Source organism: Homo sapiens, chromosome 10 (assembly GCF_000001405.40).
Source record: "Homo sapiens chromosome 10, GRCh38.p14 Primary Assembly".
In the NCBI taxonomy this organism is placed as follows: Eukaryota; Metazoa; Chordata; class Mammalia; order Primates; family Hominidae; genus Homo; species Homo sapiens.
The window spans coordinates 37,310,565-37,334,059 of record NC_000010.11 but is presented as its reverse complement, the minus strand read 5'-3'; the positions used below and the strand labels follow the sequence as shown (position 1 = coordinate 37,334,059).

At 38.0% G+C, this 23,495-nt stretch overlaps 1 long non-coding RNA gene across 1 annotated transcript in view; it reads right to left on the bottom strand.

The window, feature by feature from the left end:
- LINC00993 (long intergenic non-protein coding RNA 993) overlaps positions 1 to 23,495 on the bottom strand; it is a 37,844-nt gene that overhangs the window by 12,970 nt on the left and 1,379 nt on the right. The window contains exons 2-3 of the long non-coding RNA NR_104061.1: positions 19,619 to 19,682; positions 18,259 to 18,364 (exon numbers count right to left, since the gene is read on the bottom strand). This is a non-coding gene — a long non-coding RNA (long intergenic non-protein coding RNA 993). The remainder of the gene's footprint in view (positions 1 to 18,258; positions 18,365 to 19,618; positions 19,683 to 23,495) is intronic.

The window sequence follows — 23,495 nt, the reverse complement described above, 5'->3', positions numbered from 1 at the left end:
AGAACTTCCAGATGATTCAGGACCCCACTATTGGGTATTTACTCAAAGGAAATTAAATCAGTATATCAAAAGGATAACACACTCACATGTGTATCACAGCATTATTCACAATAGCAAAGACACAAAATCAACCAGTGTTTCTTCAATGAGCCAATGGATACAGAAAATGTAGTACACACTCACACACACAATGGAATACTATTCAGCTATAACAAAGAATAAAATTAAGTCATTTGCAACTGGAGGTGACTACATTGAGTGAAATAAGCCAGGCACAGGAATTCAAATACCACATGTCCTCAACTCATACATGAGAGCTAAAAACTTGATCTCACGGAAATAGGCAATAGACTGATAGATACCAGAGGCTTGGAAGTGTGGAAGGGTGGGAGAGGAAAATAAAGAGAGGCTGGCAAATGGGAAAAACACACACATAGAAAAAGTAAGTTTTAATGTCCAGTGGAAGGCTAGTGTGACTTGTGTTAACAATATATTTTATATTACAAAGCAGCTAAAAGAGAGGTATTGAAATGTTCTCATCACATAGAAATGATTTATATTCAAAATGATATCCTATATACCTTGACTTGATCATTACACATTCTATGCATGCAACAAAAACTCACATGTATCCCATACTTATGTAAAACATTATGTGTCAGTAAAAGAAAAACAAAAAATACAAAGTTTAAATCTAAGCAACTTTAAAATAAATAGACTAAAATATCCCATAGCAAACATTTTCATATTGTTAATTTGTTTTAATGCCCCATTCCCTGTGGCAACTAGTGAATAAACACAAGATTCCAACCTTCTTTGTCATTCGCTTTTTCTTTCTAGGCCATGGAATACATTTCCATATGATGAATGCAATCATTACTAAGAAAGAGCAAAATAAAACAAGTTTCTTGAGACTCAGTCATCTCAATAGAATACAGGTGTTTCTAAATCTCCTTTGGCTAGCATTAACTATTTTTTATGTAACTCTATATCCACATGAAGATGAAAATTTTTACTCATTATGTATTGTTTCTTTGGATATGATCTATAAAATAACAAATACTCATTATTAAACATTTGAAATACATGGAAAATCATCCATAAATATTGTTGATATATTGGTATATTTTCATTCCTTTTATATTTATTTATTTAAATATTTTTATTTTTATTTCAATGATTTTTGAGGTACAGGTGGTTTTTGGTCCACGGATAAGTTTTTTAGCGGTGATTTATTAGATTTTTGTGCACCCACATCTGAGCAGTATACACTGTACCCAATATGTTTTTTATCACCCCCACCAACCTTCACTCTTGAGTTAAAATTAGTGATGTTTAGCATTTTTCATATGTTTTTGACTGTGTATCTTCTTTTGATAATTGTCTATTCATGAACTTTGCATACTTTCTCACAGAATTATTCACTTTTTCTTGCTGATTTGAGTTCCTTGTAGATTCTAGATACTAGGATAATATAAGTCCCTTATGTTATTTTTATGCATTTGTATTCTCATAGCTTAGCTTCCCCTTATAAGTGAAAATACACAATTTTTTTTTAATTCCTGAGTTTCTTAACTTAGAATAATTTCCTCTAACTCCATTTAAGTTGCTGCAAAGGACATTATTTTGCTCCTTTTTTATGGGGGAGTCGTATTTCATGGTGCATATATATCACATTTTCTTCATCCGTTCCTTGGATGATGGGCACTTAGGTTAATTCTATACCTTTGTAATAGTTAATTGTGCTGCTATAAACATACATGTTCATATGCCTTTTCCATATAATGACTTATTTTTTGTGGGGGTGGGGTGGTAGATACCCAGAGGCAAGATTGCTAAATTGAATGGTAGTTCTACTTTTAGTTCTTTAAGGAATACACATACTGCTTTCCATCGTGGTTGTACTAACTTACATTCTCACCAGCAGTGTAAAAGTATTCCATTTTTATCACATCCATGCCAATATCTTTTTTTTTTTTTTTACTTTTTAATTATAGCCATTCATGCAGGAGTAAGGCGGTATCTCACTGTGGGTCTAATTTGCATTTCCCTGATAATTAGTGATGTTCAGCATTTTTTCATGTTTGTTGGCAGTTAGTATACTTCTTTAAAAAATTGTCTATTCATGTCCTTTGCATACATTTGATGGGATTATTTTTTTTTTCTGGCCAATTTGCCTGAGTTGCTTGTAGTTATTGGATATTAATCCTTTCTGATATGCATAGTTTGCATGCAAATATTTTGTCTCTGTGGGTTGTCTGTTTACTCTGCTATCATTATTATTATTTGCTGTGCGTAAGCTTTTTAGTTTGATTAGGTCCCATTTATTGATTTATTTTTGTTTTATTTGCTTACGAGATCTAAGCCATAAATTCTTTTTCTAAGCCAATGCCTGGAAGAGGTTTTCTGATGTTATCTTCTAGAATTTATATGGTTTCTGGTCTCAGATTTCAGACTTTGATCCATCAGAAGTTGATTTTTGTATAAGGTGAGAGCTGAAGATTTAGTTTCATTGACAGTTATCCAAGCACCATTTGATGAAGAGGGTGTCCTTTTATGTTCTTGTATGCTTTGTCAAAGATCAGTTGGCTGTATTTGGCTTTATTTCAGGGGTTGTCTATTCTGCTCTGTTGGTCTGCATGTCTATTTTTATACCAGTACCACGTTGCTTTGGTAACTACAGCCTTGCACTATAATTTGAAGTCAGGTAATGTGATGACTCCAGATTTGTTGTTTTTGCTTAGTATGGTTTTGGCTCTGAAGGCTCTTTATGGGTTCCAAATGAAATTTAGAAGTTTTTTTTTCCAGTTCTGTGAAGAATAATGATGGTATTTTGATAAAAATTACATTGAATCTATAGATTGAGCAGTATGGTCATTTTCACAACAATTTTTTTTATATCTGTATTAGCGTATTTTCATACTGCTGTAAAGAAGTGCCCAAGACTGGAAATATATGTGTAAATATATATATTTATATAATATATAACATGTTATATTATATAAATATATATAATATATATTATATATATAATATATATTATATAAATATATATTATATATATAATATATATTTATATAATATATATTATATAAATATATATAATATAAATATATATAATATTTATGTATTATAAATATATATAATATATATTATATATTACCTATTATATATATATTATATATATATATAATAAAATATAATGGAAAGAGGTTTAATTGACTCACAGTTCCACAGGGCTTGGGGGGACTCAGGAAACTTACAATTATGGTGGAAGGTAAAGGGGAAGCAAGCAAGACACCTTCTTCACTTGGCAGCAGGAGGGAGAATGAACACAGGAGGAACTATCAAACTCTTATAAAACCATCAGATTCATGAGAATTTACTATTACAAAAACAGCATGGGAGAAATCACCCCCATGATCCAATTACCTCCATCTGGTCTCTTTCTTGACAAATGGGGATTATGGGAATTATAATTAAAAATGAGGTTAGTGTAAGGACACAAACTTAACCAGGTCACAATCTATGAGCATGAAATATGTTTCCATTTGTTTGTGTCATCCATGATTTCTTTCAGCAGTGTTTTATAATTTTTCCTTGTAGAGCTCTTTCACTTTTTTTTTTTGTTAAATATATTTCTAAGTATTTATTTATTTTTGCAGCTATTGTAAAACAGATTGAGTTCTTAATTTGATTCTCAGCTTCGTTGTTTTTGGTGTATGGTAGTGCTACTAATTTGTGTACATTGATTTTGTATCCTAAGACTTTACTAAATTTGTTTGTAAAATCTGGAAGCTTTTTAGATGAGCCTTTCGAGTTTTTTAGGTATGCAATCATACCACCAGTGAACAGAAAGAGTTTGACTTCCTCTTTTCAAGACTGGATGCACTTTATGTATTTCTTTTGTTTGGTTGCTCTGGCCAGGACTTCCACTACTATGCTGAATATAAGTGATAAAAGTGGGCATCCTTGTCTTGTTTCAGTTCTCAGGGGGAATGCTTTCAAATTATCTGATTTAGTATGATGTTGGCAGTGGGTTTGTCATAAATGGCTTTTATTTGTTTGAGGTAAGTGCCTTCTATGCCTATTTTGTTGAGGAAATTTATCATAAAATAATTCTCGATTTTATCAAATGCTTTTTCTGCATTTTTGAGATAATCATACTTTTTTAAAAATTCTGTTCATAAGACGTATCACATTTATTGACTTGCATATGTTAAACCATCCCTGCATCCCTAGGATAAAACCTACGTTGTCATGATGTCTTATCTTTTTGATGTGCTGTTGAATTCAGTTAGCTGTATATTGTTGAGAATTTTTGCAATTATGTTCATCAGGGACATTGGTCTGTAGATGTCTGTTTTTGTTGTAGCCTTTGCTGGTTTTGCTATTAGGATGATAATGGCTGTATAGAATAGTTTAGGGAAGATTTCCTCTTTCTCTATTTTTTGGAATAGTTTTAGAAGAAATAGTACCAATTCTTCTTTGAATGTCTAATTGAATTCAGCTGTGAATCCTTCTGGTTTTAGCCCTTTTTTGTTGTTGGCAACTTTCTTTTTATAACCAATTCCATTTAGCTGCTTGTTATTGGGCTGTTCATGGTTTCTATTTCTTACTGATGTAAGACGGTTGTATATTTTGAAGGATCTATCAATTTTCTCTAGATTTCCTAGTCTGTATGTGTAAAGGTGTTCACAGTAGCCTTAAATAATTTTTTATAATTTTTGTGGTATTGGTTGTAATATGTCCAGTTTTATTTCTAACTGAGCTTATTTAGATTTTCTCTTTTCTTTTCTTGACTTATCTTACTAAGATCAATTTTGTTTATCTTTTCAAAAAAATAGCTTTTTGTTTATCTTTTCTATTTTTTGTTTCAATGTCATTCAGTTCTGCTCTGATCTTCGTTATTTCTTGCTTTCTGCTTTGTTTGGGTTTAGTTGTTCCTGTTTCTCTAGTTTCTTGAAGTGTGACCTTAGTTGTCTATTTGTGCTCTTTCAGACTTTTTGATGTAGGCATTTAATGCTATAAACTTTCCTCTTAGCACCATTTTTGCTGTATCCCAGATGTTTGGATAAGTTGTGCCACTATTACTGTTCATTTTAAAGAATTGTTAAATTTCCATCTTGATTTAATTTTTAACTCAAACATTAATCAAGAGAAGATTGCTTAATTTCCATTTATTTTTATAGTTTTGAGGGTTCCTTTTGAAGTTAATTTCCAGTTTTATTTCACTGTGAGCTGAGAAAATTCTTGATATGATTTTGATTTTCCTAAATTTATTGACACTTGTTTTTTTTGTGCCCTATTGTATGGCATATCTTAAAGAATTTTCCATGTGCTGAAGAGAAGAATGCATATTCTGCAGTTTGGGGGAAGAATGTTCTGTGAATGTCTGTTAGGTGTATTTGTTCTAGAGTGTAATTTAACTTCATTGCTTCTTCTTTACTTTATGTCTTGATGATTTGTGTAGTGCTGTCAGTAAAGTATTGAAGTTCCCCATTATTACTGTGTTGCTGTTTTTCTCAGTTCTTAGGTGTAGTAAGAATTGTTTTATAAATCTGGGAGCTCCAGTGTTAGATGCCTATAAATTTGGGATTGTAATATCTTCTTGTTGGATGAATCCTTTTATCATTATACAGTATTCTTCTTTGTTTTTTTTAAAGACAAAAAAGGATACTGATCTTCCTGTTGGATTAATCCTTTTATCATTATATAGTATCCTTCTTTGTCTTTTTTTAATATAGAAAAGGATACAGACCTTAAAGCAACAAAGCTTTGTAGCTTTAAGGTTTGTTTTGTTTGATATAAGAATAGCTACTCCTGCTTGCTTTTGGTTTTCATTTTTGTGGAATATCATTTTCCACCTTTTTACCTTAAGTTTCATGAGTCCTTATGTGTTAGGTGACTCTCTTGAAGACAGCAGATATGTGGTTGGTGGATTTTTATCCATTCTGTCATTCTATATTTTTTTACTTGGAGCATTTAGGCCATTTACATTCAATGTTAATGTTAAGATGTGAGATACTGTTCAATTAATTCTTTCAGTTGTTACTTAGACACTTTGTTTTTCTCATTGTGTTATTGTTTTAAAGGCCCTGTTAGTTTTATGCTTTAAGGAGGTTCTATTTTGGTGTATAGCAAGCTTTTGTTTTAAAATTTAGAACTCCCTTTAGCATTTCTTGTAGTGCTGGTTTGGAAGTGGCAAATTCCCTCAGCACTTGTCTGAAAAAAGTCAATGTGAAGGAGAGAATTTTAAGAGCTGTGAGACAGAGTATCAGGTAACCTATTAAAAAACCTGTCAGACTAACAGCAGACTTCTCAGCAAAAACCTTACAAACCAGAGGGATTGGGGTCCTCCTGCTTTTAGCCTGAAACCATATAAATTCCAGCCAAGAATTACATGTCTATCAAAATTAAGCTTCATAAATGAAAAATTGATAAAGTATTTTTCAAGCTTTTTACTGCATAGTTTGTGCTTTTGTTTTCTTCTATATAATTGTCTGTATACCAAATACAGAATTTTCAATTCTTTTTATTTTTAACATGCACATTTTTCTATTCCATTATAAAATTATTTTAAATATTTTAATGTCATTTAATTGACTGCATCAGTGAAATTTTTCAAAATTTACTTTATTTTACAGTATTCTATAAATCATATGTGCCTTTTATGTCCAGATAAAATAACAGATGCAATAATACTACAAAAAAAACTAAATAGGTGTCATTCTTGCATTTATGAAACTTAAAGTGAAGGAAATAGAGATTATAAAATCATACACATATTAATGTTATCATGAAAAGTTGCCAAGACCAGCTTGGTCAGGGAGACTAACCCAGCGGCGCTAGAAGAATTAAAGACACACGCACATAAATATAGAGGTGTGGAGTGGGAAATCAAGGGTCTCACAGCCTTCAGAGCTGAGAGCCTCAATCAGAGATTTACCCATGTATTTATTAACAGCAAGCCAGTGATAAGCATTGTTTCTATAGATTATAGATTAACTAAAAATATTCCTTATAGGAAACAAAGGGATGGGCCAAAATAAAGGGATGGGTTTGGCTAGCTATCTGCAGCAGTAGCATGTCCTTAAAGCAGAGATTGCTCATGCTATTGTTTGTAGTTTAAGAATGCCTTAAAGTGGTTTTCCGCCCTGGGTGGGCCAGGTATTCCTTGCCCTCATTCTGGTAAACCCACAACCTTCCAGTGTGGGCATCATGGCCATCATAAACATGTCACAGTGCTGCAGAGATTTTGTTTATGGCCAGTTTGGGGGCCCGTTTATGGCCAGATTTTGGGGGGCCTGTTCCCAACAAAAAGTAAAATGTGCTTTGACAGAATTTTAAAAGGTAACCACTGAGATTAACAGTTTAGGGCAGGCATCTCTGCAAAAGGGACACATCAACTAATAAGAAATCCTTAGAAACAATTCCTGTTGTTTTTGCTTACTCAGAATTCCTTTCATTTCTTTCCCAAATAGCATTATCTTTTCTATCAGTGAATTGTACCTCCCACATTTCATACCCTCTTGGCCCATGGGTGAACATGTGACCCATGCCAAGACAATAATAGTTTCTCTTGGGTGTTTAAACCTTAAACATGTACTCAAATGAGTAGAAAATGGTCAGACCTATGATAGTCCAATGGTAGTAAAATAAAGCCTATTGGTTAATTCTTGTTCATCTAACTCTTAAAACCAAGCTTATTTCTGTCCTTCCAGAATTATGAGACAGGCTTTGCCCTTAATTCTCTGCAATAAGCATAAATCGGTAACAGATTCCCCTTTTTGCTTAAATTGTACAGAATTTCCTTCTGTGGCTTATGTAACAATCAACCCTAGCTGACACAGTCATTATGGTATAGTAAGAAAAGAAATAAGATGCTCACAGATGAAGCTAGGAGTCAACTGGTGTAGGCTTTCAGGGCATAAAGGACTTTTAAATTTCATTCTAATGGAAAGCCATTTAAAAAATTTAAGCAGGAGACTGCATAATCAGAAGTATGTTTTCATAATAAAACAGCTTCCATGTCAGGATTAACACTCAAGGTTCATTGTCTCACAGCTATGGAAAACAAGGACATGGACACACAAAAAGTGAGGTTGAGAGCAGAAGTTTAATAGGCAAAAGAAAGAGAATAGCTCTCTGCTGCAGACAGGAGTCTGGAGACATTGGTGGTCTGTGGTGAAATGCAGGGGGTTTTATAGATAAGATGCTGAGGGGGTGGTGTCTGACTTATATAGGGTGTAAAAAACTGGTTAGACCAGGTGTGCCATTTGCACAGGACACAAATCTTTGGTAGCTCCCACCCTAATCTTTTATTATGCAGGTGGGTTTCTCTAAGGTATGTTAATTCTTGTTGAAAGTGAGCTAGGGGTTTATATGCTAAGCCAACTAAGCGGTCTCTTGCCTTAAAATAAAATCATCTGTAAGAAAAGACCATCCATACAGCATTTCAAAAGGGTTCAGACCTAACTTTGAAGGGTAAAGCCACAGTAAAGCCCTGGAAAGAAGAGTAGCCCAAAGAAGGTGTTTTCCTTGGGACAGTTGTGTTGCAGGGCTGTTACAGGGTTTGAGGAGGCCCTGCATTTTCAGGTTATTAATAATGGCTTCTAGCCCATTCCTAGAATCTGGCTTTAGGGAATATTGTCCTAACTATCATCTAAACCCTCCAAAAAACTGGGATCCACAAGATGGATCTGGACTGGCCTAGTGCTTATAACTTGACCTATTCTTCCATGAATTGCCCACACTTCTGAATTAATATTAGCTTCTACCAGGGGGAAACAAAGAGTTTGTCCTGGGGCTATAAGAATGCTGACCCCGGAGATCGAGACCATCCTGGCTAACAAGGTGAAACCCCGTCTCTACTAAAAATACAAAAAATTAGCCGGGCGCGGTGGCGGGCGCCTGTAGTCCCAGCTACTCGGGAGGCTGAGGCAGGAGAATGGCGTGAACCCAGGAAGCGGAGCTTGCAGTGAGCCGAGATTGCGCCACTGCAGTCCGCAGTCCAGCCTGGGCGACAGAGCGAGACTCCGTCTCAAAAAAAAAAAAAAAAGAATGCTGACCCCATGTGAGCTACAATATCTCTACCTAATAAAGGAGTGGGATTTTAGGCATGATTAAGAAGATATGTGTAAATAATACATCCCCCAAACTACAACTAAGGGGTTGAGAAAAATATCAGGTTAGAATCTTTCCTGAGATGCCTATCACGGTCATGCTACAGAAAGAGGGGAGGCCTGGATTAGAGAGAAGTAAAAGACTGGCTTCAGTTTCCAGAAAGAAGTCCACCCTCCTTCCTTCTATTTCCAGAATCACCAGGGTTCCTGAGCAATAATGGAAGTTTGAGCCACTGGAGCTGGGGGTCTGATCCCAGGGACCCATCAGTCCTATTCGACCACTGGTGAAACCAGTTTTGGACATGGTGACCTCCATCTCTGGGGGCAGTTTGATTTCCAGTGGTCACTGCCATGTGCTGTACAGGGTCAAGGTGGCTTCTTCTTGCTCACTGGGCAATCCTTCTTAAAGTGCCCTGACTTGCCACATTGGTAGCAACTAGCAGATGCACCTCAGGGATCCTGGATCTTGCAAGTGTGTAAAGCAGCCACTATAGCCCCTGTCCTTCTCTGTGATTCCTCTCTTTCTCCTGGGCCTCTTCCTGGTTTCTATTACAAAATACCAAGGTGGCCACCCTCAAGAGCTTTTCCAAGGTGGTATCTGGTCCTATAGCCTGCGTCTGCAGTTTCCTTCTAATATCAGGCGCTTCCTGTGTAATAAACATGTCTTTTAAAATTGGTGACCCTCAACTGATTCAGATGATATGGTGGTGTGTTTTATTAGTGCTTCTCTCAGCCTTGCCATAAAGGTTGTGGGATTCTCATCTGGGTTTTTGTCTGTCATGGACATTTTAGAGTAACTAAGAGGTTTGGCACTAATTCTTCATAGGCCTTCCAATAAGCACATTAAAGTGTTTTCTTTTCTATTCATCTGTGGAGTCACTCGGGTTCTAATCAGGGTTGTCAAGATGTATTTCCTCTCTTTCTATTGGGAATGGTGTTTTCCCTTTTTTTGTTCTTGCCTACTTTCTCTTTTGCTTTTTGGCCTTCTAGAAGAGACATATTGCTCATCTTTGAATTCCTCTGATGCCGGCAGAGCTGCCTGTTTTTCAGCAGTAGTTAGAGCTTGGCTTAGGAGCAACATAACATCCCTCCATGAGAGGTCAAACACCTGAGATAAATTTTGGAAGGCTTCTATATAGCTATCAGGGTCATTAGAAAATTGCCCTAAGTCTCCCTTTATTTGCCTAAGGTCCTGAAATGAGAAAGGAACTTGAACCCTAGTGGCATCACCTTCATTGGGCATTTCCTATATGAGTAAGAGCAAAGCTGGAGGAGTGGGAAACTTTGGAGATGGTGGAAGTGGAAGAGCCTATGGTGTGGTTAGAGGGGGGCCTGAATAAGGGGGACAGGAAGGGCTATGATACTAGATTGCTCCCTCAGATGGTTCTCCTAGAAGTTGCCTTTCTAGTTTTGGAGAATTATTTGCTTTGTGCCTGCCTGATATGACTGCTAAAAGAGCTGGGCCAATTGTGCAATGCTTGCAAAAGTCTAGGTTGTCTCACAGGGCAAAGAAAACCTGTACATAGAAAACCTTTAATCATTTGCTCTCTCATCTACAGAAAAGATCTAATTTTTGGATAGTATTAAAATCAAAGCTTCCCTCCAAAGCCAGGTTAGTTCAAGATAATAAGAAGGCCACACTCTTGTGCAAAAGAAATTTAGCCACTTTTTCTTCAAAGTCCTAGGGTCATAGGAGTCCCAGTGCTTCAGAATGCACTCCAGAGGAGTACAGGCCAAAGATGGTCTGTTACCCATCTAAAAAGAGAAGTGAGAAAAAAATATCCCTTTAGTCTCCTTCCTTCCTTTCTTTTTTTTTTTTTTTTTTTCTGACGGAGTCTCACTCTGTCACCCAGGCTGGAGTGCAGTGGCACATCTCAACTCACTACAAGCTCTGCCTCCAAGGTTCATGCCATTCTCCTGCCTCAGCCTCCCAGGTAGCTGGGACTACAGGACCCTGCCACCACGCCCAGCTAACGTTTTGTATCTTTAGTAGAGAAAGGGTTTCACCGTGTTAGCCAGGATGGTCTATATCTCCTGACCTCATGATCCGCCTGCCTTGGCCTCCCAAAGTGCTGGGATTACAGGTGTGAGCCACCGCACCCAGCCTAGTGTCCTTCCTTTCTTTTGGAATGACCCAGGGTGAAGAAGGTGACAATTGGGGTATCCTTTCAACTGTTTCCTTCCTTGGTTCCCTAAGCCCCGGCATCCATTAAAGGTGGATGCAGACATCACCCTCAGGCATGGATCCGGGGGAGCTAAGCAATGGGATTAGTCATACATACCAATGCAACTGTAGTCCTCTGCTGGTGATTTCCCTTTGACTTTCTAGACTTCTGTGATCTGTGTGACTTCCCAATAGATGGCTCTCAGGACAGACTATGTAACAGTTGTATGTCGGCAAGGCCCCTTAATGGAGCAAAAGGACGGGGTTGCGCTGTATATTCTGTTATTATACCCCAGATTAAAGTGTATATTCTTAGGCAGTAGTTCTGGTTAACATCCTTACTACATAAAATCCACTTACTATTTAAGTATTATTCTAACAGGAGGTAGAATAGCTGCCTTAAAAAATGTAGTGATCGAATGGCAGTTTTTCTGCTGAATGGAAATTACTGACACAAAATTTGGTTTTGGGAGACATTTTCCTCCTTGTTGTTGAGTTTTCCCATTCACGGATAGGGCATAAAGCTTGGTTTATAGTTGAGGGGTGCAAAAGGGGAATAGGATTGGGAAAATACAGTGTTCCAGCAAAGGTCTGACAAGGTACATCTTGGAGAGGATTCCTATTCTGCTAGGTGGCACTGTAGGTCTTGAAATACTGTGTACTTTCCAGACAAAGGATAGAGAAAAAGACCTTCACTGGGTGGGGGAGAGGAGAACCCTTGTTCCTAGAAAAATCACAAAAAAGGCAATCCTTTAAGCTATATTCCCAGTTTTACTGTGGCATTTGCTGATGTTGACTGACAGGATTATTTCCTTTAACTGTAAAAATTCCTGCAGCTTTGTATATAAAGGGGGAACAGGAGACATGGTGGTCATGGAGAGGAAAGAAAAAAAATTTGATGGACAGAACTTGGAGATTGTGTTGCTGATGCCTAATGAGCAGTAAGAGGCTGGAAGAGTATGTCCAGAAGCCTTCAGGTAACACTGGGGTGTAGCCTTGGCCAGGAACTGCCTCTGGATCTCTTCCAGTCCCACATGACGGCTAGGCTCTTTGTGAAAGTCAACCAGTTTAAAACAGAGCCAACATTCCCAGAATCCTGAAGGCACTGGGGGATTCGCTCAGCATTCCCCAGCAAGCCTGTCACCTCACCTGCGTCTTGAGAATGGTGGTGAGCATAAATGACCATCTCTTAACTGGCAATCAGATACCCAGTCTTTTAACTGGCCATCAGATACCCAGTTTTAAGTTTGATTTTACAATTTAAAATTGAGGAGAGAAGGCCTCAAAATAAAAGTAGAGATTTGGGTTCCACTCCTATACTTACCCTTCTGATGAATCTACCTTGGATCCTGGATGAGCTCCCACAATGAAACAGCCTCATCTAGAGTAACACTCATGGTTCCTTATCTTATGGCCATGGAAAACTAGGATGCAGACACTCAAAGAGTGAGGTTGAGAGTGGAAGGCAAAAGAAAGAGAATAGCTCTCTGCTGCAAAGAGTTGTCCTGGAAAAATGGGTTGCCTGTCCATGGCAAAATACAGAGGGTATTTTACCTCCTCAGCTGGTGAGGAGGCAGTGTCTGATTGGAATAGGACATGAAAAACTGGTTAGACCAGGTGTGCCATTTGCATAGAAGGTGAATCTCTGGTAGCCCCATTTTAATCTCTTATTATGCAGGCAGGTTATCTGCCTGAGCTGTGACATGTTGCCCATTTCTATGTTCCGGTAAACATGGTAACAAAAGGGAGGATGGAGCCTCCATGTTGAATATGCGTGGCCCCCAGGTAGCATTTTTCTCTTGGCATAGCTGCCAGCATTCCCCCATGCAAGCTTCCAGCTTGCTTATCTATGTCTGAAGCTCGATTTTTCAGGCTGCTCTTTCTAAGAGAAAAGAAATACTTTTCTGGGCTGCTTTTTGTTAGAAGGGAAGCTCTGTCGAGGACTCTTTATCCCTCATTATCTGCCTAAATAATTTCTTTCTACATAGCTCCTGTATCAATAAGATCACTTTGGGCTGGGCATGGGGGCTCATGCCTATAATCCCAGCACTTTGGGAGGCTGTGGCAGGTGGATCACCTGAGGTCAGGAATTCAAGACCACACTGGCCAACATGGTGAAACCCCATCTCTTCTGAAAATGCAAAAATTATCTGGGCATGGTGGTGGGCACCTGTAATCCCAGCTACTCGGGAGGCTGAGGCAGGAAAATCACTTAAACACAGGAGCCAGAGGTTGCAATGAGCTGAGATTGTGCCATCGCACTCCAGCCTGGGCTACACGAGTGAAACTCCACCTTGCTGGGTGTAGTGGATCACACCTGTAATCCCAGCACTTTGGGAGGCCGAGGCAGGTAGATCACCTCAGATCACCTGAGGTTGGGAGTTTGAGACCAGCCTGACCAACATGGAGAAACTCCATCTCTACTAAAAATACAAAATTAGCTGGGCATGATGGTGCATGGCTGTGATCACAGCCACTCAGGAGGCTGAGGCAGGAGAATCACTTGAACCAAGGAGGTGGAGGTTGCAGTGAGCCAAGATCACACCATTGCACTCCAGCCTGGGCAACAAGAGCAAAACTCCATCTCGAAAAAAAAAAAAAAAGAGTGAAACTTTACCTCAAAAAGAAAATCACTTTGCAGTGTGGACAATGCCTTCAAAGACAACAGAGGAGTAAAGTCAGGGAGACCACTTCAGTAGCTATTGTCAAATTGGAGAAAAAATATTTTAAGTACTAAAATCTGGTAAAAATTGTGAAGTGAGAAACGCAAATGCCCAAAGAATTTTTATACAATTTAGGATACAACAAAGCTATGGGAAAACTAAAAATTGTCAGAAAAGTAAGACCATGGAATACTATGTAGCCATAAAAAGAATGAAATTATGTCCTTTGCAGAAACAGGGATGGAGCTGGAGACTGTTACACTTAACAAACCAATACAGAAACTGAAAGCCAAATACCACATATTCTCACATAGGAGCTAAACATTAATACATAGACCTATAGAGGGGAACAACAAACACTTGAACCTATCAGAAGGTGGAGGGTGGGGTGGGATGAGAGAGAGGATCAGAAAAAAAATGAATGGGTAATAGGCTTAATACCAGGGGGATAAAATAATCTGTATAACAAACTACCATGACACTAATTTACCTATATAACAGACCTGCACATGCAATCCTGAAAAATTAAAGTGAAGTAAAAGAAGAAAGAATAGGAAAGCCAAGCTAAGCACACTGTAACAAAAGCAAAAATATTAAAATATTAAAGTAAAAAGTGTTTCTAACAGGAATGTCTCAATGAAAACATTTTTGATGAAATGTTGCCTAAGATGAAGACAAAATATTTATTGATTTGGCAACGTGAAAGTCATTCCTGACCTGAGTGGAGGTCACTAAAAATTGGTTTGAAAAAATAAATCACTGAAAGAATTTCTGTTTCTGGTAATAAGAAAAACTAGACAACCTAAAAACTATCCTAGTTAAAATTACCTAAAATGAATACCTGAGTACCTAAGAAACTAAGAAAAATCTTTAGGGGTCAGAAATAAAATGGATACCTTAAAACTTAAAGCTCAAAGAGGCTGCCTTAGAGAAGTTATCCTGTCTCAATTCTGTATGAACTTTGGTTTGAATATTCCAAACACAAATACTTCAGGCTTCTAATGAATGGAAGGTTGAAACTGATGAGACCCTGTTCATATGGCTGAGACTTTCAAAGGGGTACACTTTCAGCAGAAGGGTAGAACATTTAATGACAAAAACAAACAAAAAAACCACACATGCACAGAAATCACAAAACCCAAAACCATGGCATTGGGAGACAATAATAAAGCTTGTCCAATTTGCTCTATGCTCTGGAGAGGAGGTAAAGAGTGTGCTATAATAATGTAAACAGGCTTGCATTCAAATAGATTTTGGGTTTGAATTTACACTATGTGCCTGGTTTGATTAATCCCAAACATTAAATTAACATAAGGAGTCAGATGGTGGAGTAAACACAAAACCTCAAACCAGGCTGAAACATAAATTTATAATCCAACATAAGGAAATATGAAAGGAACCAATCCCTATGATCACAAATTAACAGATACAAACATTTAGACTGCCCTCCAAGGGTCTCACAAAATAAAAATGCAAATAAAGATTATAAGATAAGTATTTTCAATGATTAAGGACCTAAGAGGAGGAATTTAAAAATATGAGAAAGAAACAACACTCTATATAAAAGAGAGGAACTCAGAATATCTTCTAGGGGTAGGCAGAATTCTCAAGAAACCCCCAGTTCCCTAACCCCAGGTACTTTAATGAAACACTAATGCAGGTTCTGCTGTAAAGGGACTTTGCAGATTGAATTAAGGTTAATGGTCAGCTGACTTTAAAATAAGGATTTTATCCTGCATTACCTGGGCAGACCCAATGTAATCACACGAGCCTTCAAAAGCAGAAAGGGAAGGTAGAAAGCCAGTGGGAGATGTGGCAGAACAGAAAGTAAGAGACATGCAGCAGAAGGGGAAGTCAGAGAAGTTCTGAGTATGAGAAGGATTCAACTCATCTTTGCTGGCTTGAAGATGTAGGGACACATGCAAAGTCCTTATAAAAGTCTCTAGGAACTAAAGGTGTCCCCTGTCCTATAGCTGACAGTCAGTAAGGAACGGTTACCTCAGTTCTATAAATGCAAGAAAGGCAATGGATTCTGCTAACAGCATAAATGTGCTTGGAAGAAGTTTCTTTCCAGAGTCTTCTGAAAAGAGCCCAGCAGGCCAACACCTGATTTCAGCCTGATGTAATGTTTTCTTGTAACATGCTTTCAAGGAGTTTTAGAACTTGGGGGGCTCTGAAATTCTCATTTTACTTAGAAATTACTTATGCTTGCTCAGCAATCATTGTGTATACTTGAGAACTCTTGAGATATAAGAAAGCCTGTAAGTTGTTTCTAAATATGATAAACTCATTGTGCTTCCTAAGCTTAACAGTTATTACAACTGATGTTCATTTTAAAATGTTGTAAGTGTTTCTTAGTTTTATTATGCAGAGGTTTCCTGCTCCCCAATTTTTGGAGCCTATAAATATTTTTTTTCAGGTCCCAAAGAATGTTGTAGGTCCTTAAAACTCTAGTAGGTTCTGAGCCCTGTGCTTGAGCCAAGTGAAAGACAGAACAGTCCTGTGCATGCTTCAGACACATGTAGTGGTTGTATATACACTTGCAGTAAGATCAGCCTGCTATCCCCACATATTCACAATTTTAATTTTATTGAATACTGTGCTTTTGGTGTTGTTGACTGATGACTTTTTAGTGACTAGCATAGGTGATATATAATGAATGCTTAATAAATGTACTTAACATAATCAAAAATCCACAACTTCAACTATATGTCATAATCTCCTTCCTAATATATTTATTTGAAATTATATTTCTAAAGCCTCTCAAAATTTTTGGATTCTCTTTAATAAAAAAAGCTTTATCTTTATTGTGTTAAAAGGTGGTAGAAATAAAATATAAAACCCTACACAAAGTGGAAATCTCTATAAATATTTGACTTCTAGATATGTGTTTCATTAGAAGTTAGTTACAGATTTCCTTCTAAGCATTTATAGAATGATATTCAGAATATTCTAGACATTCCACATCCTTAATACGGCAATGGCTTTCTAGTACTCTGAAAATTTTTCTCATGACCAGGAAAATTTTTCTTGGTGGTATAGACATATTAACAGAGTGTACCCTAAGACAATCTTAACGTACATGATGAAACAAAAACTACGCACAGGCCTAGCTGTTATGTGCAGGGAAGGGCAGGCAGGCTGATGTTCATAAGCAATTAGAAATGCAAGAAGCAATATTTGTTCCAAAAGTTCACATGATCCTTTTCAACTCCAGCAGAAATATTAATTAATTAAAAACAACTCCCTCATCTAGGTATGCTGAAGTGGGATTAACAAAATTTAAATGAATAATAACATGAATTATTTCACATGCAAACCTTCATGTGTGATACTCATCCTTGGATAAAATAATTGAGTCTGAAATCCAAAGGCTTGGCTTTAACTCCTCTGTGGAATACTTGTGGGAAAGAGAGTTTCTTGGGTGCCAGATGAGTTGGTCTCCCCTGTGTGAGACACCCATGGGGAGCCATGGGCGGCCTCTGAGGAGAAAAGTCTCCTTATTGCCTTCATGTCTTTATGCCCCGAAAGCATAAACACTCAGCGGCATTCCACAGGTTGCCCAGGGAGATAACACTCCCTTGAAGCAGTGGAGTATAATCAAACATCTTGGCTCCTCCTGAAACCTGCTTCCTCCTGTTTCAGTCCCAATAAGTTAAAGATCTTAAGTAGTTTACACACACAACTTTGCTCAAGGAAATTCACAGAAACTGCCACTGCTATATATCTTATTGAATGACTCAAGAGTTCTCCACTGATTAATCCTTTTCCTCATCCCTTCCTACCCCTCCCATCTGCCCTAAGAACAAAGATCTTGTAAACCAATAAATTGGGTGAAGCCAGAGAGCTCTGGGCCATGAGCAAGCCTCCGATGCTCTGGTCCCCTGGATCCACCTTTTAAATGCTTATTCTGTCTCTATAATTCCTTTGTCTCCGCTGGACTTGGGGTACCCGCCGGGTGGTGTGGGGCTGGTTTCCCCAACAATATTACTAAACCTACATCTTTCCACCTTAAGATAGTAATGCCATGACATCGATTTTTTGGGACATGGGTAGTTTTGCTCACCTCTAAACCCAATAAAACCCCCATTCTTACCTAGAGACAGACCCAGTGACCCAGAAAGTCAGATTTCATGTGGCCACTGAAAGAGTGCAACTTAAATTTGAGAATAACCAAAATCCTTAAAATTGAGCATGTTGTGCTTCTATAGAAAACCAATATGGGAAAAAAAATGTATGAATAGAAAAACAGAGAAAGGGACCAGGAGAATTTGTGTTCTGTAGGTATTGGGATGAAGCTCCTTACCTCTTTCCATTGCTTTTCCATACCACTGCTTTTCCCAGGACTGGAGACTTGGTTTCCAGCTCTTTGCACCTCCTCCAGCAATGTCTTTTTTGCAGATGTGCTTGGCCTTGTATTATGAGGAAAAAACAAAAGAACATGGTGTAAGAATTTGACACAGCTGAAAAGAGAGGTTACTCCCATCTCGGGCCATACCCAAATGCCCTTTGATAGAGGTCAAGTCTGGAGAAGTGGTGTAGCATGTACAGTCAACATGCATGATGTGTAACTCCATCTCCATAGGCTAGAGGCATCCTAAGTGCTGCAGACCAGACCTGGACAATAAATGTCAAGAGTCACCACCACCCCGAAAAGAACTAGAAGTCTGTAGATCTGCTGAGGAGCCCAGTCATTAAAATACAGGATGGGGTTCACAGAGACTCAAGGTCTGCCTCTGAAGCTTTTCTTGGTAGGATCTGAAAACCCAGAAGATGCTTTAAATCCTCACCCTAGTGAACAGATGCAGGTTCCCTGGTCCTTGGCCTGACTGCAGTCAGAGAGCCCAGGAGTTAGCTGGTTTTCTCCCTCCATTTTTGGTGTGAAAAGAGCCACTGCCACAGCAGCCATGGACTTAGGATGCTAGAGTGCATGGTCTGGATGCAAAACTTTTGCCCTGAAATGTGGCATCAACACAAATACAGAGTCCAGATTTTTCATCTTCCTCTGGTGATGACTCACCATTAGTGTCCATACATGTAGGTGCTTATGAAATAACCCTCAGCCAGGACAGCTCACTCTTCTGGAACTGTAGGAAGTGTTCTTATACCTTTTTTTTCAGATTAAACTGATTAATACCTTACAGTGTTCAAATATTTGGCTAATCTCAGCGTTTTTCTAATTTGGAGCCTGAACAAAGCTAAAATTGAGCTACTATTGGAAACAATCTAGAAGAAGAAAAGACATTTAATAAGATATAGGTTATATTGGAGGGAAAAACTGTCAAGAGAATAGGTTCATGAATTAGCAACACCTCAGGGTAAAAACTTTTGCATTGGTTTAATTTCAAAATAAGCACATGTGAGAATTCTGCTGGGTACCAGAACTCAAAGATAGAATGAGAACAAAAACTGAGCACATTTGCCCCAAAATAAAAAGTGTCAGGAGAACATTCTGAAGACGTGGGCCATTTCTGTAGAATCACATTCTACCACCACCCGCCCTCCACCTTCAATAAAAGAAAGCATGTTAAGATAATATGAGTCATCTCCCGATGCTTTGAGTTAATCCATCATAGAGTATTAGCACTGAGACACTATACATGTTCCTGGCATCCTTTCCCCCAAAGTAAACAAGAGAAAGCCACACAGACTTTAACACATTATACCTTAATTCCATCAACAGTGTCCTGAGACTGAGGATAGATAAAATACTTCAGGTCAAAGCAGAGCCTGTGGAATTTTAATTTAAACAATAGATGAGAAAATGTCTTTTGTTGGAAAAGAGACATTCAAAAAAGATGTTAAAATATACCCTGTTTATTATGAATTATTTGGGAACGTAAACATTACCTTTTATCTTACAGACCAGACTGACAAGGCCACCGAGTGTGTGCCCCACCTGCTGTGAGCCATCAGCTTGCACAGGTACCAGGAGAAATAGGAAGGCTGGGCACTTATAATCTACAGCTTAGGCCAAGAACAAAGAGAATCCAACCCAGCGTGGAAGCTGCTTGTTTCCTCTCATTCAAAACCAGGCCTCAGAGGGCAATGGTCTGAGCATCTCTATGCTCCCAGGCATTGTGCATGGTCTCAGTGGATGAAATTGCATCCATATATGAGAGTTACTCAGCAATTTGTTAATATTTCCACTAGGCTAGCCCCTGTGAGCTAGCCTGGAAACTTTGCTGCTATTGGAGAACAATGCATTGCAATGCTGGGGATGATTCATCTTCTCTTTCTGCATGTAGCACTTGAATAGAAGGGGTGCTGGTAATTTAAAACAGTGTTCTCAAGCACTTTTTATGTCATAAGGCCTGAATTAGGAAAAAAGATTCTAAAATATTCCCTGTCTAAAATCTACAAGTGAGTGGCCTAATACTGTTATTTATAGGTTACAAAGTGAGTTGTTAAGCATTGGCCACTGGCACGTCACTTAAGTCTCACCAGGAGCCAGGATTTTGTGTGTTCTGCATCACGACTTTGACAAAGTAAGCCCCATTATCTGTAAATGGCTTATTCCCCAGTAGTCCAGGCTTCATCTAACCCCACATCAAGAGGACAGATGACCACAGAAGGGACAAAGTGGGGTTGCGGCAACTGACACATGAGTATGAGACTTGTGACTCTTCAGTCTACCTAAGGGTGTCTCCAGGTTCTTAGAGACTTTTAAAATAAATAGGTTGATTTAGGATCTTACTTCCCATCTTTTTGTTTTGGAAATTTTTTTTCCTGGACCCTTTTTGCATGCAAGTATAGCCAGTCAAAGTGTTTAGTTCTAAACGTGGATGAAAATGTAAATATAATGTGCTCCAAAATAAATTAGTTTAGTTAGAAAGTTAAAAAAAAATCAAGGTCTATTTGTACTTAGAAATAGCTCATTATCTCTTATTTCCATTTAACTGCCTATCTGGGGTTATAATAAGATAATAAAGGCCAGGTGCAGTGGCTCACGCCTGTAATCCCAGCACTTTGGGAGGTTGAGATGGGGGGATCACTTTAGGTCAGGATTTTGAGACCAGCCTGACCAAGATGGTGAAACCCGATCTCTACTAAAAAATACAAAAATTAACCAGGTGTGATGGTGCATGCCTGTAATCCCAGCTACTTGGGAGGCTGAGGCAGGAGAATCACTGGAATCTGGCAGGCAGAGGTTGCAGTGAGCCAAGGTCGCACCACTGTACTGCAGCCTGGGTGAAAGAGAGAGACTGTGTCTCACAAAACAAAACAAAAGAAACAAACAAAAAAAGAAAATAAAGTCATTCTAGAATTGGGGACTGTATTGTTTGAACAAAGGCAAAGTACAAGACATACAGTTAGATAAATGAAAATGAGTTTCTCAGTATTCAGTGGCCTTGAGCTTATATTATTTTTATAAAGCAATATTAACAAATTTCTCCTAAATGAGAGCTGGTACATGGCAGCTTACTCAAGAATGCTGTCATAGGCAAACATTTTCTGTGAATATAAGCTAAGGGATTCTAAAACAGTTCTGGGTAATTTAAACTTCATACTTCTAAGACAAATATTCATTAGCTAGGTATCACATATACTCAATCAATTATTTTAATAAAAGATAGGTTTGGTTCCTCATGAAAATTTTGGTTAAAAGGACAATAGAGTAGGCATTTTATGGAGTTCCAAATCTGACTTAAATAGTGTAATAATAATGGATCTGCATCCAGAAAGTTGACAGACTCCAAGAAAAAAGTGACTGAATTATCTCATTCTGGTTCTCTTTACTTACTCTTAACAGCCCAGGTCCAGAAATTCAAGTTAGAAACTGGGCAAAAAAAAAAAAAAAAAAAAAAAAAAGGAGAAGGTGCAGAAATATGGAGCAACTCAGTTTCTTAAGTGCTCACAGAAATATATTTGAAAAGGTAGGCCTGCCTTGCACTGGAATTTAAAAGCTCTTTCCAAAGAGAATGATGGCCACGAAAATTTAAAACAAAACAAAACATCCTTAAGATTGACCGAAGGCAGCAGGTCACAGTGGCTCACTCCTGTAATCCCAGTAGTTTGGGGGGCCAAGGAGGGCAGATCACCAGGTCAGGAGTTTGAGACCAGTCTGGCCAACATAGTGAAACCCTGTCTCTACTAAAAATACAAAAAATTAGCCAAGTTTAGTGTTGAACACCTGTAATCCCAGCTACTTGGGAGGCTGAAGCAGGAGAACTGCATGAACCCGGAATGCAGAGGTTGCAGTCAGCTGAGATCAGGCCATTGCACTCCAGCCCAAGCAACAGCGTGAAACTTCATCTCAAAACAAAACAAAATAAAACAAAACAAAACAAAACAAAAACAAAACTGACCAAAGGCAATATGAAAGAACAGCAGCATCACCTTGGAAGCTCCCTAACATTACCGTGTGTTGCCATCACAAAATAAGACCTTCAGCTGCTCCTCATTTTCCTCTCACTACTGTAAACCTATTCTGGGAACTTCAAGGTGCGTCGTAGCATATTGTGCCTCAGTAAATATTTGAAAACATATATCCAATGATGGGTGGTTGGGGACAAACAGGATTAATATTTTTGTTTAGTGCATGGGAAGAAAAAAACAACATGTTTTCTAAAGCTGCAAATTCAGAAAGATAAATCACAGTGAAGCACTGTAGCCTTCTCAGAGGAAAGCAACTCACAATATGCCTTTTCTCCTTGGAAGAAGCCTCTGAATTTACTTGCCTCAACAAATACTTTTGGTTTGGAGTATAATATGAGACATAATATGGGCCTCATGATCAAAGAGAAAATGCCCAAATAAACTCACCAAATTCTTGTTTTTGAGGAGACGGATGAGTATAGTTTAGATATTAAATAGATATTACAAATTGAGCATATATATACTTTGGGCAAATACTCCAGGTGACAGCCAATATATACTATCTTTCCCGGTCCCCTCAACAAAACAAGACAAAAATACCTTTCAGAAAAGTGCCTCTGGACTTCAGTAGGGGTCTTTCTGGCTCAGCCCAGAGATGAGATGCTGTGGTCCCATGGAAATAGCTGAGTTCTGGGGCTGTGATGCCAGGTGGTGGGCAGCAGCTTGTTCCTGTGGGCAGCACTATTCTGTATTTATCTAAAACTAACTTATCTTTGCAAAACTGAACAAATTCAGTAAGGGAATATGCTGTGTCACAACTGGACATATCAGTTGAAAGAGCAAATAACAGAACTAATATTTTCATACAGTATATCCGTTAGATTAAGAAAACAGCTTTTCTGGCTATAATCTTTTTATTTCCAAAGGGTTATGACTCTGCTATTTTCAGAACATGGTTTTACCAAAGAAAATGGAAGTAGTGATAAATCAAAACATTTAAGAAATTAAAATGATTTTTTATGAACAGTTAAAAAACTTAATGAATGGGGGAAAAAACAAAATATGGCTGTAATATTCTTTCTCCCTTCTCTCTTTGCATTAGCCATCATTGGTTGTCAAGATAATGCCAAAATGAACACTGTCCCAAAAGACATCCTTGACTGTCAGGCAAGAAAAATTCTCAATGAGTGTGGGAGAAATGGTGAGATAAAAATGAAATCTGAT